General features: G+C 37.3%; 1 protein-coding gene across 26 annotated transcripts in view; it reads right to left on the bottom strand.

The window, feature by feature from the left end:
* NLGN4Y (neuroligin 4 Y-linked) overlaps nt 1-18386 on the bottom strand; it is a 323039-nt gene that overhangs the window by 133402 nt on the left and 171251 nt on the right. The window contains exon 2 of one of the 26 annotated variants that reach the window (XM_017030039.2): nt 11121-11214. The exons of 24 other annotated variants lie outside the window; for them this stretch is intronic. In XM_017030039.2, the coding sequence (XP_016885528.1) occupies nt 11121-11157 (37 nt within the window). In that variant the 5' untranslated portion in view covers nt 11158-11214. Of the gene's footprint in view, nt 1-7445; nt 7467-11120; nt 11215-18386 lie in introns of those variants that run through there. One more of the 26 variants, XM_017030040.2, reaches the window with a different exon arrangement.

Genomic DNA, 18386 nt, shown 5'->3' with positions numbered 1-18386 from the left:
ACCCAATGTATGTGCACTTTGAAAAACTGGTTTTTGACAGGAAAGTTCGATTTCTGGATTTGGAAGAATTGCCTTAGATAACTTATGGCTTCTTTTCTTTTTTCATGTTCTGAAATAAGAACATTGGTACAGGACCAATAGAAATACGTATAAGATGGCAGGCTTTTTTTTTTTTTTTTTAGATGGAGTTCGGCTCTTGTCACCCAGGCTAGAGTGCAGTGAGTGATTTCGGCTCACTGCAAGCTCCACTTCCTGGGTCCAAGTGATTCTCCTGCCTCAGCTTCCCGAGTAGCTGGGATTCCAGGAATGCACCAGCATGCCAAATTAATTTTTGTATTTATAGTAGAGAAGGGGTCTCGCCATGTTGGCCAGGCTGGTCTCTAAACTCCAAACCTCAGGCGATCCACCTCTGGCAGCCTCCCAGAGTGCTTGGATTACAGGCATGAGCCACCACACCTCCCTGGGAGGCTTAATTTATGGAGCTTTCAGTAAAGTAGCTTCCCAGAAAGCAGCATTCAGATGGTTACTTCTTTTATTACAAGCCCTGGCAGGTCAGTACCAACGCATCTTGTGTACTGAAGGTCATCCTTTTGTGATATGGGAAGAGATTTTGGTGACCAGGAAGGCTTAGAAAAGACAACATATGGAGGTTGAGTACCTGAAAGTTGGTTTCTTTAAAATAATCAGCTGAGTCATACTTTGAAAAAGTTTTAAAAAGGCCTCTGCCAGGTTGAAGACCTCAGCTCTAGGGCACATAACTACTAGATAGATAATGTTGAATTACAGGGTGTAGTCGATTGACAGGCAAAAGGGGTCCCCAGTTCTACAATCTGTCCCATGAATTTGCTATTCCTCATACATAGAGATAAAGTCTGTATTTTCACCCCTTGAATCTTGACTGGTTTATGATTGTGTTTTTTCAAAAGAAAAAAAAATATAATGATATGCTATTTCCAAGACTAGAACTGAAATCCCCTGTACATATTCTTAATCTCTTGAAACTCTACCACTGCTCTCTGAAAAATGCAGACTAGTGGATTGGAATACAATAGATGCCATAAAGAAGAACCCATTGGCCCCAACCTAGGCAAAATTACCTCCCGCAAATCCCCAACTACCTGAGAGAGTTCACCCCAAAACAACAATAAATACACATCAATGAGCACAGCCAAGACCAAAATAAATTTACAATTAACAACATTCATAGGCTGATAAGCAGTAGTAAGTGCTTATTGTTTTAAGGGAATGAATTTTAGAGTGCTTTGTTATGCAGCAGTAGCTAACTGATACATAGGGTAGTACTAATTTTATCTTCAGTATATCCTGGTGTATTTCTTTCCAAACAAGTTGTATTATGCTATACACTCACTAGCAGGTAAGAAAATTCTGCACCCCTTATCCTATTCCCAACACTTGTTATTATCAGACAATATATTTGTCACTTTGATGAGTATAATATATTGACAGTTTATATTTCAATTTGCAAGTTCCTTGAAAATAGTGCAGATGTGCATTTCTGTATTTGTTGTCTTGATCATTCTAAATTCCCTTCTTGAATAGCAAGCCAATTTTTGATTGGCTGAACATCTGTTATTGGTTTGCAGGAAATCTTTACATTCATGGATGATGGTCTCTTTTTGAGGATGTAAAGGCAAACATTTAACAGTGCAAATCAGTGCTGCATACTGTTCTAAGGGCTTTATGCATAATGAATTTGCATTTCATTTGTTTGTTTTTTAGAGATGAACTCTTACTCTGTCACACAGGGTGAAGAGCATTTTTAGCTCACTGCAGCTTCCAGCTCCTGGGCTCCAGTGATCCTTCCAACCTCAGCCTCCCGAGTAGCTGGGACCCCTACAGGTGTGTGCCACTGCACCCAGTTAATTTTTGTTTTTAATTTCTTGTGGAGAGAGGATCTCACTATTTTTCTCAGGCTAGTCTTGAACTCTTGGCCTCAAGTGATTCTGCCACCTCGGCCTCCCAAGGTGCTGCATTACAGGTGAAAGCCACTATGCCCAGCTCTGAATATATATTTTTCATAACTACCTTCTGAGATGTGTAACTAATATCATCTCACAGTGAGGAAAATTAGATATGTGGAGATTAAATAATTTGCCCAAGCTTACACAGTTGAGCACTGGAGATATCTGTTCTGTTGCCTTTAACTATTTTATTGATTTTTAATTATATAAAGTAATTCATTAAGATGCATATTTATTATAATTTATCACTATTTTCTCCATAATGTCTGCTTTTTTAAAAAAGGATTATTTATGTAATCCAAAAACATAAAGACATTTTATTTGATTACTCTTCTTCTAACAGTTCAAAAGTTTTATTTGTCATGTGGATCATAAATCATTTGGAATTTATTTATCTGGGTGGTATAGTATACAGGTTATTTGAATTATTTCCTTAGATAACACTCCCATTTTCAGCTACATAGGTATTATGGCTCTTCACTTACATGCCAAGTTTTACATCTACCAGAGTCTGTTTCTGCCTACCTTCCTCTGTTCTGTTCTGTCTTTTTTTTTTTTAAGATGGAGTCTTGCTCTGTCACCCAGGCTGGAGTGAAATGGTGCAGTTTTGGCTCACTGAAAGCTCTGCCTTCTGATTCAAGTGATTCTGCTGCCTCAGCTTCCCCAAATATCTGGGATTACAGGCCTGCGCCACCATTCCCGGCTAATTTTTGTATTTTTAATAGAGGTGAGGTTTCACCGCATTGGCCAGGCTGTTCTCAAACTCAGGACCTAAGGTGATACACCCACCTTGGCCTCCCAAAGTGCTAGGTTTACAGGTGTGAGCCACAGTGACTGGCTCCTGGTCTATTTGTCTCTATACATAGGCTGTCTTAATTTATTTGGTTGATAGATTGATTAGATAGAGATAGGTTGATAAATAGCTTAACTGAGATATAATTACTGTATCATACATATCACTATGTCAAAGTATGCAATCCAGTGGTTTTTAATGTATTCATGGATCTGTGCAATAATAAACAATATCGAATGGCAGAACGTTTTCATGATTCCCCATGCCCCCAAATATACTGTACCAGTTAGTGGTCACTCTCCATTTCCTCTTTCCCCCAGCCCCTGGAAACTGCCCATTCATTTGTATCTTTCTGGATTTACTTATTTGGACATTCTGGATCAGGGAGGTGACACTGACACTATGTAGCTTTCACTGTAAGAGAACTTGAACATATCTACATGCAACTCTGACAAGTTTCCATGAAGAGTCCTCACTAGCCTGTTAGAGGATGATATTCCACATGAGCACTGACAAGCACCATGTTGAGATAGTGCTTGGCCAGTGAGCACCCAACTGACCTGGATGTTGACTCTAGGCTGAAGAGCCTCCCAGATGAGCACAGCCCAGATTCCCAACCAAGAATCATAACCTACATAGAGGTTGTTTGAGATGCTTTGCTAAATAAAAGTTGTTTGAGATGCTTAGCTTTGAGATGGTTCCTTATGTAGCAAAAGTCAACTAATACACCACTGTGAACATGGCTTAACTCATTTCATCATCAGGTTGCCTTTAGGACTTTTGGGAATTCTGCTGTTCCCCCTACTTGCAAGGCACATTTTCTCCTGTAAGACAAATTTTTATTGGTCAGCCTAAATTATATTTCCTAAGAAAGGCATTCCCTGTTCATCCCAGCATTATATTCCTAAATAAACTTGAGTTCCTCAATTATTCACTGTAGTTGGCATTTTTCATCACCAAATGAATTATAATATTTAACATGATACCTTGTTGAATTAGGTCTCTTTGCTAAATGGCTAGGAAAAAGAAAACAAAGGTGTTTCCTGTGATTTTCAACACCATATTTCCTAATTTGTAATAACTACCTAAACATCCAGAACATATAAGTTACATGGTAAATAACTGTTGGATGAATCACATATTTTTGGCTTGCAAGCTCACCTCTATTATAATAGTCACAGTCATACCAGCTGTGAAAAACAATGATAAATACAGCTCTCTATGTAGCATGTGGAACTAATTCTCCTCTCAAGTGTGCAAATGCAATGTTGCATCTTCTTTAGTTTTGAGAATAGATATAAATTATAATTCATAACATGGTAAAAAATAATTTCGATTAACATACAATATATAATAATTCTGCCATTTGCTATTTTTTTAAAAAAACTTGATAAAATGCTATTGTGATGACAGTAAAAGCAAGGTCTAATTCTAATTTTCTACCAGATCAAAAATGCTTTATTATAATAATGGAAATAGGAAAGGGTTAGGAAATAACTTAAAATAGGGTTAGGAAATAGGGTTAAGGTTAGGAAAAACACTGAGAGAAACAGGTGAATAATAATTTTTCTTTGTTGCTTTGCTACATTTAGCAAGAATTGACACTTTTTCAGGTAGGAATCAAAATGAATCTAAAGACTGTATGGCTTCCTGACATATTCCTGTGCTTACTATTAGAGTCCTAGAGCATTGTCTAAGCTTCCATAAGCATTTTTTTTTGTTGCAAATTTTACCACTGAAGTGTTTCTGTTTTCAGGAATGAAATACAAATCTTAGTATATTTACATGAGCATCTCCCATTTTTTTTGAATTTTCAGCTGATAGACAATATCATCTCTAAGGATCTGTGAGCTTGTGATTAAATCACAGTGTATTTAAAAATGAGAACTAACTTAATATTATATTTTGCTAGGTATTTTAAATACATTTTATTAAGAAAAGTCATTTTGAAAAGAAAATTGACATTTATTTGCCCTAAGATGTTTCTTGAAATGTTGTATTAAAAATCTAATACACCCAAAGATGTTTATATGTATTACTCACACGCGCACACACACACATCTATCTGTTGGCCTGCCTGGCCAACACGGTGAAACCCTATCTCTACTAAAAATACAAAAATTATACAGGCATGGTGGCATATGCCTGTAATCACAGCTAATTGGGAGACTAGGCTCAAGAATCCCTAGCACCTAGGTGGCGGATATTGCAGAGAGGCAAGGTTATGACACTATACTATAGCCTGGATTACAGAGCGAGACTCCATCTCAAAAAACAACAATGAAACAAACAAACAAAAACCTAATAACTTCTACACACACACGCATATATAGACCGCTACAGATATATATATATATATATATATATATATATATATATATATATACACATAAAATTGACTTTTAATTGCCCTAAGATACCTCTCAAAATGTTGTATTCAAAACCGAATAACTTTGAACAGGTATATATATATACACATATGTGTATATGTATATATGTGTGTATATATATACACATATGTGTGTATGTATATATATGTGCATACATATACACATATATCTGATTGTGTATATATACACATACACATATGTATATATATACACATCACACGCAATCAATATAAGTGTATATATATACACACTACACACAATCATACATATATATATATATATATATATATTTTTTTTTAAATGAGATTATCAACCTAGATTGTGAAATACCTATGTAGTTAGGGTAAGCAAAATATTATCCTCATTACATCCTAAAAGAACTAAGGCCAAGAAACACGAGACTGTTTCCTTTCTATGAGGAACTATTTCCACGAGGGACTTTCTGATGTAATGAGCACTTTGAAAGAATCATATTGGTGAAACCCTATCTCTACTAAAAACAGGAAAATTTGCTAGGTGTGATGCCACATGCCTGTAATCCCAAGACATAGGAGGCCAAGGCAGAAGAACTGCTTGAACCAGGGAGGCAGAAATTGCAGTGAGCCAAGATTACATCACTGCAGTCTAGCCTGGGTGACAGAACAAGATTCCATCTCAAAACAAACAAGCAAACAAACAAAAATAACATATACATAAATATTGCTTATTACTCTCTTTCAATCCTTCTGATTCCCTGGTAACATGTAAATGTTTTCTTGCATACAACTGGTGATCCATAAATGTTAGCTCATATCATAGCTGGCAGTGGTATTTTTCATGATTTCTCAAACATTTTTCTTCCACTCAGATTTTTCTCATGAAGTATTCTCTTCCTTGATTCAGAGAATGTGATGTCTCTAAGCTTCCCCTCCAGAAATTTCCTCTCTAACTTTGTAAAACCTTTGAGCACCAAGTACAAGTGCCAGAATCTCTATGACATGTTCCTCAGCTCAATGCTATACTGAACTGTTTAATACCGTACTCATTAGAAGAAGTCTGTGTTGCATGAACATTTGTACGTATCCCTGATGACACTATGATTTGCATGTCAATTATTTGGCCATATAATCATGCTACTCAAGAAAACAAGAGTGTGTTGACTATTTACTCTATGACTCCAACCACTTATCACAGAAAGATCTTACCCAGGAAGACACCAAGGTAATCACTTGCATTATTATTAAACAAAAATGACTAGACATTGTGCGTGTTTTATTTTTAAGCAAAATCTCATTTAAACTTAAAATTTAAGAAATTTTCAAGGCAACTTTATGGATATTACACAGTAGCATCTGCAAAGCCTCTCCAAGAATTAGAGAAAAAAAGGTATAATACCTTCATTTCCATTTGTCCATTTGTTTTAAATTAACTTGTAATTTTGGAAAGTTTTAGATTTGCAGAAAATTGTGAAGACAGTAAAGAGAACTGCCATATGCCTGACAGTCAGTTTCCCCTATTAATAACATTGACATCAGTGTGACATATTTCTTATAATTAATGAACCAAGATGGAAACACTATAATTCAGTAAAGCCTGCATTTTGTTCAGATTCTCATAGTTTGTAGCTCATGTCCTTTTTCTGTACCAGGATTCAATCTAGAATCCCATGTGACATTTTAGTCATCTTGTCTTCTTAGGTGCCTCTTGGCTATAACTGTTTCTCATGTTTTCCTTGCTTCTGATAACCTTGATGGTTTTGAGGAATTTTTGTCAGGCATTTTATAGAGTATTGCACAACTGGGATGTCTTTCATGTCTACCGTGATTAAGCTGAGATCTAATTATGAATTTTTGGGAAGGGAGAAAGAAAATGCCTTTCTTCTCACAGCCTATCAAGAATGCATACAGTAAAAATAGTTTATCGCTGTGGATATTGAGTCTGATCTGTCTGAGTTATTGTTTGTCAGGTTCCTCCACTATAAAGATACCGTTTGTCTACCCTTTCAATACTGTACACTCTTTGGAAGGAAGATATCATGCACAGTTAAACCTAAAAAAAGAGAGAAGAAACAAATAAACGCAATAAAAAATGATAAAGGGGATATCACCACCGATCCCAAAGAAATACAAACTGCCATCAGAGAATACTATAAACACCTCTACACAAACAAACTAGAAAATCTACAAGAAATGGATAAATTCCTCGACACATACACCCGCCCAAGTCTAAACCATGAAGAAGTTGAATCTCTGAACAGACCAATAACAGGCTCTGAAATTCAGGCAATAATTAATAGCTTACCAACCAAAAAAAGTCCAGGACCTGATGGATTCACAGCCGAATTCTACCAGAGGTACAAGGAGGAGCTGGTACCATTCCTTCTGAAACTATTCCAATCAATAGAAAAAGAGGGAATCCTCCCTAACTCGTTTTATGAGGCCAGCATCATCCTGCTACCAAAGCCTGGCAGAGACACAACAAAAAAAAGAGAATTTTAGACCAATATCCCTGAGGAACATCGATGCAAACATCCTCAATAAAATACTGGCAAACCAAACCCAGCAGCACATCAAAAAGCTTATCCACCATGATTAAGTGGGCTTCATCCCTGGGATGCAAGCCTGGTTCTATATATGCAAATCAATAAATGTAATCCAGCATATAAACAGAACCAACAATAAAAACCATATGATTATCTCAATAAATGCAGAAAAGGCCTTTGACAAACTTCAACAACCTTTAATGCTAAAAACTCTCAATAAATCAGGTATTGATGGGATGTATATCAAAATAATAAGAGCTATCTATGACAAACCTACAGCCAATATCATACAGAATGGGCAAAAACTGGAAGCATTCCCTTTGAAAACTGGCACAAGACAGGGTTGCCCTCTCTCACCACTCCAATTCAACACAGTGTTGGAAGTTCTGGCCAGGGCAATCAGGCAGAAGAAGGAAATAAATGGTATTCAATTAGGAAAAGAGGAAGTCAAATTGTCCTTGTTTGCAGATGACATGATTGTATCTTTAGAAAAACCCATTGTCTCAGCTGAAAATCTCTTTAAGCTGATAGGCAACTTCAGCAAAGTCTCAGGATACAAAATCAATGTGCAAAAGTCACAAGCATTCTTATATACCAATAAGAGACAGAGAGCCAAATCATGAGTGAACTCCCATTCACAATTGCTTCAAAGAGAATAAAATACCTAGGAATCCAACTTACAAGGGATGTGAAGGACCTCTTCAAGGAGAACTACAGACCACTCCTCAATGAAATAAAAGAGGATACAAACAAATGGAAGAACATTCCATGCTCATGGGTAGGAAGAATCAATATTGTGAAAATGGCCATACTGCCCAAGGTAATTTATAGATTCAGTGCCATCCCCATCAAGCTACCAATGACTTTCTTCACAGAATTGGAAAAAAAACTACTTTAAAGTTCATATGGAACCAAAAAAGAGCCTGCATTGCCAAAACAATCCTAAGCCAAAAGAACAAAGCTGGAGGCATCACGCTACCTGACTTCAAACTATACTACAAGGCTACAGTAACCAAAACAGTACGGTACTGGTACCAAAACAGAGATATAGATTAATGGAACAGAACAGAGCCCTCAGAAATAATGCCGCATATCTACAACCATCTGATCTTTGTCAAACCTGAGAAAAACCAGCAATGGGGAAAGGATTCCCTATTTAATAAATGATGCTGGGAAAACTGGTTAGCCGTATGTGAAAGCTGAAACTGGATCCCTTCCTTACACCTTATACAAAAATTAATTCAAGATGGATTAAAGACTTAAATGTTAGACCTAAAACCATAAAAACCCTAGAAGAAAACCTAGGCAATATCATTCAGGACATAGGCATGGGCAAGGACTTCATGTCTAAAACACCAAGAGCAATGGCAACAAAAGCCAAAATTGACAAATGGGATCTAATTAAACTAAAGAGCTTCTGCACAGCAAAACAAACTACCATCAGAGTGAACAGGCAACCTACAGAATGGGAGAAAATTTTTGCAATCGACCCATCTGACAAAGGGCTGATATCCGAATCTACAAGTAACTTAAACAAGTTTACAAGAGAAAAACAAAAAAACCCATCAAAAAGTGGGCGAAGGATATGGACAGACACTTCTCAAAAGAAGACATTTATGCAGCCAACAGACACATGAAAAAATGCTCATCATCAATAGCCATCAGAGCAATGCAAATCAAAACCACAATGAGATACCATCTCACACCAGTTAGAATGGTGATCATTAAAAAGTCAGGAAACAACAGGTGCTGGAGAGGATGTGGAGAAATAGGAACACTTTTACAGTGTTGGTGGGATTGTAGACTAGTTCAACCATTGTGGAAGTCAGTGTGGCGATTTCTCAGGGATCTAGAACTAGAAATACCAATTGACCCAGCAATCCCATTACTGGGTATATACCCAAAGGATTATAAATCATGCTGCTATAAAGACACGTGCACACGTACGTTTATTGCGGCATTATTCACAATAGCAAAGACTTGGAACCAACCCAAATGTCCAACAATGATAGCCTGGATTAAGAAAATGTGGCACATATACACCATGGAATACTATGCAGCCATAAAAATGATGAGTTCATGTCCTTTGTAGGGACATGGATGAAGCTGGAAACCATCATTCTCAGCAAACTATCGCAAGGACAAAAAACCAAACACCACATGTTCTCACTCACAGGTGGGAACTGAACAATGAGAACACATGGACACAGGAAGGGGAACATCACACACTGGGGCCTGTTGTGGGGTGGGGGTAGGGGGTAGGAATAGCATTAGGAGATATACCTAACATTAAATGAAGAGTTAATGGGTGCAGCACACCAACATGGCACATGTATACATATGTAACTAACCTGCACGTTGTGCACATGTACCCTAAAACTTAAAGTATAATAATAAAAAAAGGAGATTTATGGCCAGGTGCAGTGCCTTATACCTATAATCCCAAAACACTGGGAGGCTGAAGCAGAAGGATTGCCAGAGGCCAGGAGTTTGAGAACAGTCTGGGCAATATTGAGTGACTTCATCTCCAAAATGTAAAAATGAATTCAAAGAGTAAAAAATAAATAAATAAATAAATAAATAAAAATTTATACTCCAACTTCTTAAGGGATAAATACCTATATAAATTATTTTAAATGCCTCTTCATGAGAAATTCTTCTCATCTCTCCAGTGGTAAGGAAAATAATGATACTTCCCCCAGGATATCGACATCCTAATTTCCTCAATCTGCCAATATGTTATGAGTTCGCAGATGGAATTAAAGTTGTGCATTGCCTGATTTTAAAATAAGATTATTGTGAATTATCCAGGTGGCCCCAATATAATCATAACAGTTCCTTCAAGAACAAGAAGGAAGCAGGAGTGCAGTCAGAGAAGCAACTGAAGACACTGCACTGCTGGCTTTGCACATCAAGCAAAAAGAATGAGCCAAGAAATGCAGGTGCCTTCTATGAATGGAAAACAAGGAAATGAATTTCCCCCAACAGGTCTCAAAAGCAATCAATTCTATGGACAGTTTGATTTCAGCCTAGGGAGACCCATGTGGGACTTCTAACCTTTAAAATGAAGATGTCTAACAAAACAAAATGGTGAGATACCTTTGTGCTGTTTTATGCCAAAAATAATGTAATTTTCTATAGTAGCATTAGGAAATTACTATATCATGCTAATTTATTCAGTCATCTACATCAAATATTGGATTGTGGATATGTATTCTACACTTTGAGTTATAACTCAAAACTACGTTATTTATTTTGTTACTCCAGTTGTCCCAAAGAGGGCCATGGAATGCTCTCTAAGTTGGCCCTTGTATGCAGTGTCATGACCATGTCATTGTGCGTGTGTGTGTGTGTGTGTGTGTGTGTGTGTGCGTGTGCATGCGGGCTTAGCATTGTCCTCCTTTCTGGCACTACAACACACACTACAAGCTTACCTTTTATATTTCCTGCCCCAGTTCTCAAATCAGCCATTTCTCCAAGAAGCCCTAGTTCCTTTTACTTGGTATCTGCATTTTATAGGTTAAGAGCCTGAAGAAGAGAAAATAAGAATGACTTCCCTAGAACATTCTAGCACTAGTTAGTGACCCACCTGGTTTTTATATAGTAAGGACTATGCTGTATCATTGTGTTTATAATACATGCTACTGGTGCTGGAGTGAAAATTTGCACCTTCCCTTTTTACTCCTATTCCAGTGGTCTTCCTATGGCAACAGATATTTAATAATGACAATATTAAGTATTGAACTGCAGTATTTGATTAATGCATTCAAGGCACTATTCCAAATACTTTGTAGCCTTCTTAAAAGTGGTAAGGTAGTATTTTTGTCCTAACTTTATAGATGAGGCAACTGCAGCACAGAATCCTTAAATAACTTAGTCAATGAGATCAAGCTATTGGGGTTTTGGGGTTCAAACCTAGAAGTCAAACACTTCATGGCATAACATCATCTTTTAAACAAATAGTCAGAACACGGTCTTAAGTTAATCTCTGGCAAGGAAGTTTTGTTTTACTCACACAAAATGAAATATAAAACAGAGAGAGGAATACATCATTGATTATGTCTTAAGATCTTTGATGCAGTAAAGAAAATAAGAATTATAACTAAACATGTTATTCGACGAAGAATAAATGGCATTCAGAGAACTGACACTTTTGTTTAGAAGGCACGGACTAAGTGTTAGAAATTGTAGTTCACAAAGAAGGATGGCATTTCAGAAGAGAAGAAGAAGAGCAATGCAAAGAGATTGCTGTATCCAGGTGTGGAATGAAAGAGACCTATTTCACTGCAGGTGGGTCCCATAAACATCACAATATTACTTTAAAAATACAGCCAATTCACCTGGCAAGATTCTGATGCCAAACTTGATGCAAATTCTTCTTAAGATATCTTGTGTTTTGAACACAGTCCTCCATTGTTAATAATACAGATAATTTTAAGTATTCCAAGTTGTTGCTCTCAAGGATTCAGAGCCTTTACCTAATTCTATAATCAAAAAATACTACCTAGCTTTTAAAAACACATCCTGATGATTTCTAATTTGTCTCCATTTTAATATCCATTTATGTTTGCATTAGCATTATGTTTCTTCAGAAAATAATACTGTGTGGTGATTATATGATGAGATTTTTGTTGAACGCAAGTATTTAATCCCATACAGTAATGACTCTAAGCCAATCCTTTCACTCTTTCACAAATTCATAAACCATCACTTTGGGCCAACATGTAAGCTTAATGTACCTCTAGGTGTTTACAGATTTACCTTAAATAATTAGCTTTTTTTTCATTAAAAAAAGCATGTTATTTTGAGATTCACTAAAAGAGTGATTCCTAGCTTAATGATTTCATTTCTTTCATAATTACATGCAATTTTAGGTATTTATAAAATCTCTCCAGGTTTAGAATTGTTATTGTTATTACTATTACTACTACATTCAATTGAAGGGATGGGAAATTACTGAATTCACCCCAAAATACTTAACAGCATGAAAAAGAGTAAATAAGAAAGTAATAAATAATGTTACAATATGCTCAAATGGTAACACCTTTAACAAGAAATCCCAATTCCCTGCCATGGCGGCATCTGCTGGCCAATATTCCAACCAGTTTTCATGATTTAGATAAAACCTCCTCCCTCTGCCGGGGTGTCCAATCTTTTGGCTTCTTTAGGTCATACTGGAAGAAGAAGAATTGTCTTGGGCCACACGTAAAATACACCAACAATTGCTGATGAGCTAATTTTTAAAAATCACACAAAAAAACTCACAATGTTTTAAGAAAGGTTGCAAATTTGTGTTGGGCCACACTAAAAGCATTCTTGGCCTCATGGAGTCTGCAGGCTGAGGGATGCTACCTAGATACTATACTGGGAAGTCACTTCTTAAGAGAGGACCCAGTCCTCTAACAGGTAACTTCCCAACATAGTATTTAGGTAGTATCCCCTGTTATGAATTTCTCATCTAAAACGTTAATCTCATAGGAGGAAAGAATAGAACGTAGGATATTAGGGGCTGGGAAGGAAAGAAGGAAAGGAAAGGGATAGAGAAAGATTTGTGAAAGAATACAAAATTCCAGCCAGATATCAAGAATAAGTTCTAGTATTCTATAACCCTGTAGTTAACAAGGATGTATCGTATCCAATGGCTAGAAAGAGGCTATTGGAAGTTTCTATACAAATAAATGATCAATGTTTGAGATGATGGATATGCCGAATACCTTGATCTGATCAGCATGCCTTATATGTATCAAAACATTGCTAACTACTGCATAAATATGCTTAAATTTAAAAATAATGAAAAAAAAAGAAAGGAAAAGATGTGAACATGATTGCCAACCCAGAACAGCCAAAAATCTAAGGAGAGATCTGGGTAGATTTATGCTAACTCTTTCAATAAGCTGAACAGTAATCCATCTCCTCAGGGATTATTTTATGGCCTTAGCACATAGGGAATGGTTCCATAGATCCAATGGGAAACAAATTAAGTTCAAAGGGGTACTGTCCTTCCTGCATTTAGCCACTTGTAGGCAACAAGTGTCAGTCTCTAAAGTCATAAGCCAAGGAATACAGGTGGCCTCTATGAATAGAAAAAAGCATGGAAATGGATTTACAGTAAAGCAAGGAGATGTTTTTCTACCTCAAGGGATTGCCTGAGAATTATTTCAGAAAGTCTCCTAAATACAACAACTCTATGTACACGTTCAATTGAAATAAACTTTAACCCAACCTAAACAAATATGTAAGAGACAGAGTTGGTTCATGAAAAATGGTTATTAGTCCACGGCTGCAAAGTTGGACAATTTGAGAAAAGCCCTTCCAGCCAATGACATTTTTCACACATTCACCTAGCACATAGTATTCACATGTCAACTAATAATTAGTCATCTTAGTAAGGTCCAGTGCTGTCTGGAGATGAGTATCTCATTGGAAACCAAAATTGCTCAGAAAATACTCATGTGCATGAATGTATTCAATGCAATAGGATGAATTCTTTAGGCACCATGTAAATTCTGATGTTGGAGCCAGTATCCATGATTTTGGAAATGGAGTAAAGAATCTCACTTTCTCCTATTTCAGCGCCACAAAATGCTTTTGGTAGGAAGTTACGTTTCCTCCACCATTTACTGTAAAATGATAGCACTGAGGATAGTGAACAAAAAGACTCAGTGTTTGCTGTCAGGGAGCCTCATACAACAATTAATTCAGTAATCACTAAATCACTGAATTCCCACTGTGAAATGCTACTAATAGAAATGTAACCATATACATGTATGATTATAATTAGCTATAGAGAGAAGGATTGGCGCACAGGAATTAAGATGTCTATCTATCCGTCTCTCCAATCTACAATCTATTTCTCTGTCTACCTATCTATCCCTCTGTCCTCTACCTACCTACCTGCCTATGTATCTGTCTCTCTGTCTGCCTGCCTGCCTATCTATCTATCTATCTATCTATCTATCTATCTATCTATCTCTCTCATCTATATACCCATCATCTATATACCTGTCTACCTGTTTCTATCTCTACCTTCTATCTATCTATCTATCTATCTATCTATCTATCTATCTATCTATCACCTATCTGCTTATCTATATCTATATGTCTTACTTTCTGTCTTTTATCTCTCCACCTCTATCTACCTATATCTATCCATTATGAGCTATCATTTATCTATGTATCTATATCTATCCATCTCTATCATCTATCTATCTATCTATCTATCTTTCTATCTATCTGTCTATATATACATATATCACCTAGCTATCATCTTACTATCCATCCATTTCCATCTATCGATTCACATCTATTATCTATCAATCTATCTATCTATCTATCTATCTATCTATCTATCTATCTATCTGCCTACCTACCTATCTATCTATCTGTTAGTGACCCCATCTTCTCTAATGGTCAGCAAGATAATCCCTAAATATTACTCTTAGTTTTAGATGATCTGAATTGGGAGTCAAGGAGTCAGAAAGAGAGTTGTAAGGAAATATTCCAGAAAAGGTAAAGGAGAGTCTGCTGCAAGATTATACCAGAGAATTGGGCAGTGTCAGGTCACAGGCAAAGCATGACAGGGTGTATTGTGTTGAATAATGTTGCAGAAACCCACATCTACCAGATTCTCAGAATGTGACCCTATTTGGAAATACATAACACCCCAGATTGTTATGCGTGAGGATAGGCTCCAAGATGTGAAGCTGCAGCTAGTACCAAATTCTATAGATACTATGTTTTCTCCTATGTATACATGCCCATAATAAAGTTTAATTTATAAATTATGCTCAGTAAGAGATTAACTCTTAATCTCTCAAGAGTTAACTGATTAAGCCAAGAGATTAAATGATCACCGGGAACTGAAACCACGGAGAACAAAACAATGGATAAGGAGGTACTACTGCAGGGTCTTTGCAGATGTGACTATGTAATCTCCTTAGAGATAAAATGATCATGTATTTGCAATGGTCCCTCGATCCAATGACTGTGTCTTTAGAAGAAGAGAGCATCCAGAAACATATGCAGAGAAGAAGGCCTTGGAAAGATGAAGACAGTATTGAAGTGACACTGCCAAGAAAAGCCAAAAATTACTGGCAGCCCCCATAAAGTAGGAGAGGCAGGAACAGATTCTCCCTCAGAAGGTGCAGAAGAAACCAACCCTGACAACACCTGGATTTTGGTTTTCTGGCCTCCAGAACTGGAGGGAATACATTTCTGTTGTTTTAAGCTACCCTGTTTGTGGTAATATGTTATAGAAGCCCTGGGAAATTTATATATTGGAGTATTTATAAGTTGGAAGGACCCGATAAGCCATGCCCTCCTTTAATCCCAGGAAGGTGAATATGAGCTGGACTTATGAAGTTGTTAGAAGTCATCCTGTGAGTATGTTATGTTACCTAGGAAATGGAATGCGATGCTATTGCCTTGGTTATGTTATCTAAGATTTTTCCTTTTCTTAGCAGACTGGAGCAAGAGATTCCCCTGCTGGACATGAAGATGCAGGCATGCATGCATGAACATATTGGAAGATGGTCCCTGAGAAGGCTGCATGGCAACAAGCTGCTTGGGGGACCTCTATGAGCTGAAATCAGCTCCTGCTGACAGAGAGAAAGGAAAGGGGACTTCGATCCTACAACAGAAATAAACTAATTCTGCCAATTCCTGAGTGAGCTTGGAAGAGGACTATGAACCTTCAGAGAATCATGCTACCCAGCCGACACCTTGATTTCATCCCCGTGTGGCACTGAGCACTAAATCCAGTTCAGACATGCCCAGAAACCTGACCCACAAGAATTGTGAGATGACAAAAGTGTGTCATTTTAAGCCACTAAATTTGCAGTAATCAAATATGCAGCAAAAGAAAATGAATACACTGACAGCCACCGCATCCTTCTTTGTCTATTCGCTCTCTGACTGCACATCTCCAGTTATTTAGGGAATCTGTTTAGCCAGCCTCACAAACTCCCGGAAATTTCAGGTAATGTAAATTCCATTAGGGACCCAAGAAAGTCAGGACTTGAAGGCGTGCCAGACAGTACCAGCAAGCTGTCTGGAGTCCAGCTGTCTACATGGGCATTTGGACTACCTGTCAGCTGTCCTGCAGTGTGGGGGCAGGACACAGAAAGCATTCCCATCTGTACAAAACACAACGTATCGGCCATCTCCATCTCTATATGCCAACCTGTGCATGTGTGCCTTTCACAATTGTTTTGGTTATATTTAGAACTGATGCCCCTATTAGGATTAAAGAACATTATGTATCCCATGATACAGCAACTGCTTATAAATGTATAATGCAGAATGGGAACAACAGCAAACTATTTCTGCAGGTATCCATAGATTCCATAGAATATTCTGATATCACAAATTATGACATAGTTCAGAAGTAAAAGCAGTACCTGGATTGGGTCTGAAGCTTCCTCGATGTTTTGTAAACCTTTCTGTGGTGTGTAAAAGAAACTTTCCTTAGTGCTTTTAATTTGCCTCCTTCCACTTTTAACACACTCTTCTTTAGCTATATCAGCTGCATGTGCCTCCTCCAACCCTACTGAGGCACCACACTTTCTTGGAACAATACCCTCCATATTACATGTGAAATTATAATGGCTGGAAAGCCCATGACTGAGGTTGATAAGACAAAGAAATCCCCCCATGAGACTGAAGCTGTGTTGTCTGCCAAGTCTGACTTTGACCTTTTGGTCTGTGAAAAGGGAAATCTGGACTAAGATGGGATGCTTCCATAAAGATTCAGTAATTATCTGCATCCTCAAATGGCATGTAGATTGAGCAATAACCTGGGAAGGAGCAAGCATTTCCAGTTGCAGCATGAATTCAAAAGAAACACAAATCACTCATTTAGCAGCTTGTGAAAAATTTAGGAAGATCATGTTTCTTCAATTGTTCATGCAGCAGACTGGAACTCCACAAGCATGCTGGCTCAGGACATCACAGAGCTGCAGCAAGCACCTCCAGCCATGCACAAGTGAAAACTGGCCAATGGGTTTCTCATCATTCAGATAGTGCACAATCATCACATAAATGAGGGGGAAGACAGGGCTTTATCATAGGAGGCCAAATCCCTGAATTTGTGCACATATGACTATCCATTTCCATCCAGAGAGATGGTAACCTTTCTGATTCATAGCATAAATAATTACTAGGAAGATCATTTGGAAAACACCACCCAATTTCTAGCAGCGTTTTTAAAACATCATCAAAATTAACTCTGGCTCCTCTATAAGGAACCACTTGGTGCCTGGCACCATGCTTTACTGAGAAAGCTTTCAAAAACATTGAGCTAACTAAGCCATTCAATCCTATTTCAGTTGGATGCTTTCATGGCTGTTAAATAACAACATTAGGAAATAGTTATAGCAGTCACCATGCATCATCATGTATGTTGCACATTTCACTTGAAATTCTGGTAAGTCATTTCTTTTACCATTACTCTGTAACAGAGCCAGCTTTGTCATCAAATAGAGTTTCCAAAGAGATAAATGATCTGCAAGCATGAAAGCATAGTAGCTGCTAAAAATCAATAGCTCTAAAGCACGGTTAGCATGAGTTAAGAAGCAATGGCTACCTCCAAATGAAATTACAGATGAAACATAGCCAACAAGGTGTTTAATACATGCAACATGTTTTTTTTTTTTTTAATTTTTGTCCCTAAATTAGAACTTCACATATTCGTTTCAGGAATA

This window comes from Homo sapiens, chromosome Y (assembly GCF_000001405.40).
Source record: "Homo sapiens chromosome Y, GRCh38.p14 Primary Assembly".
Classification (NCBI taxonomy): Eukaryota; Metazoa; Chordata; class Mammalia; order Primates; family Hominidae; genus Homo; species Homo sapiens.
Note: the sequence above shows the minus strand (reverse complement) of the source record. Positions and strands in the feature narration are given on the sequence as shown.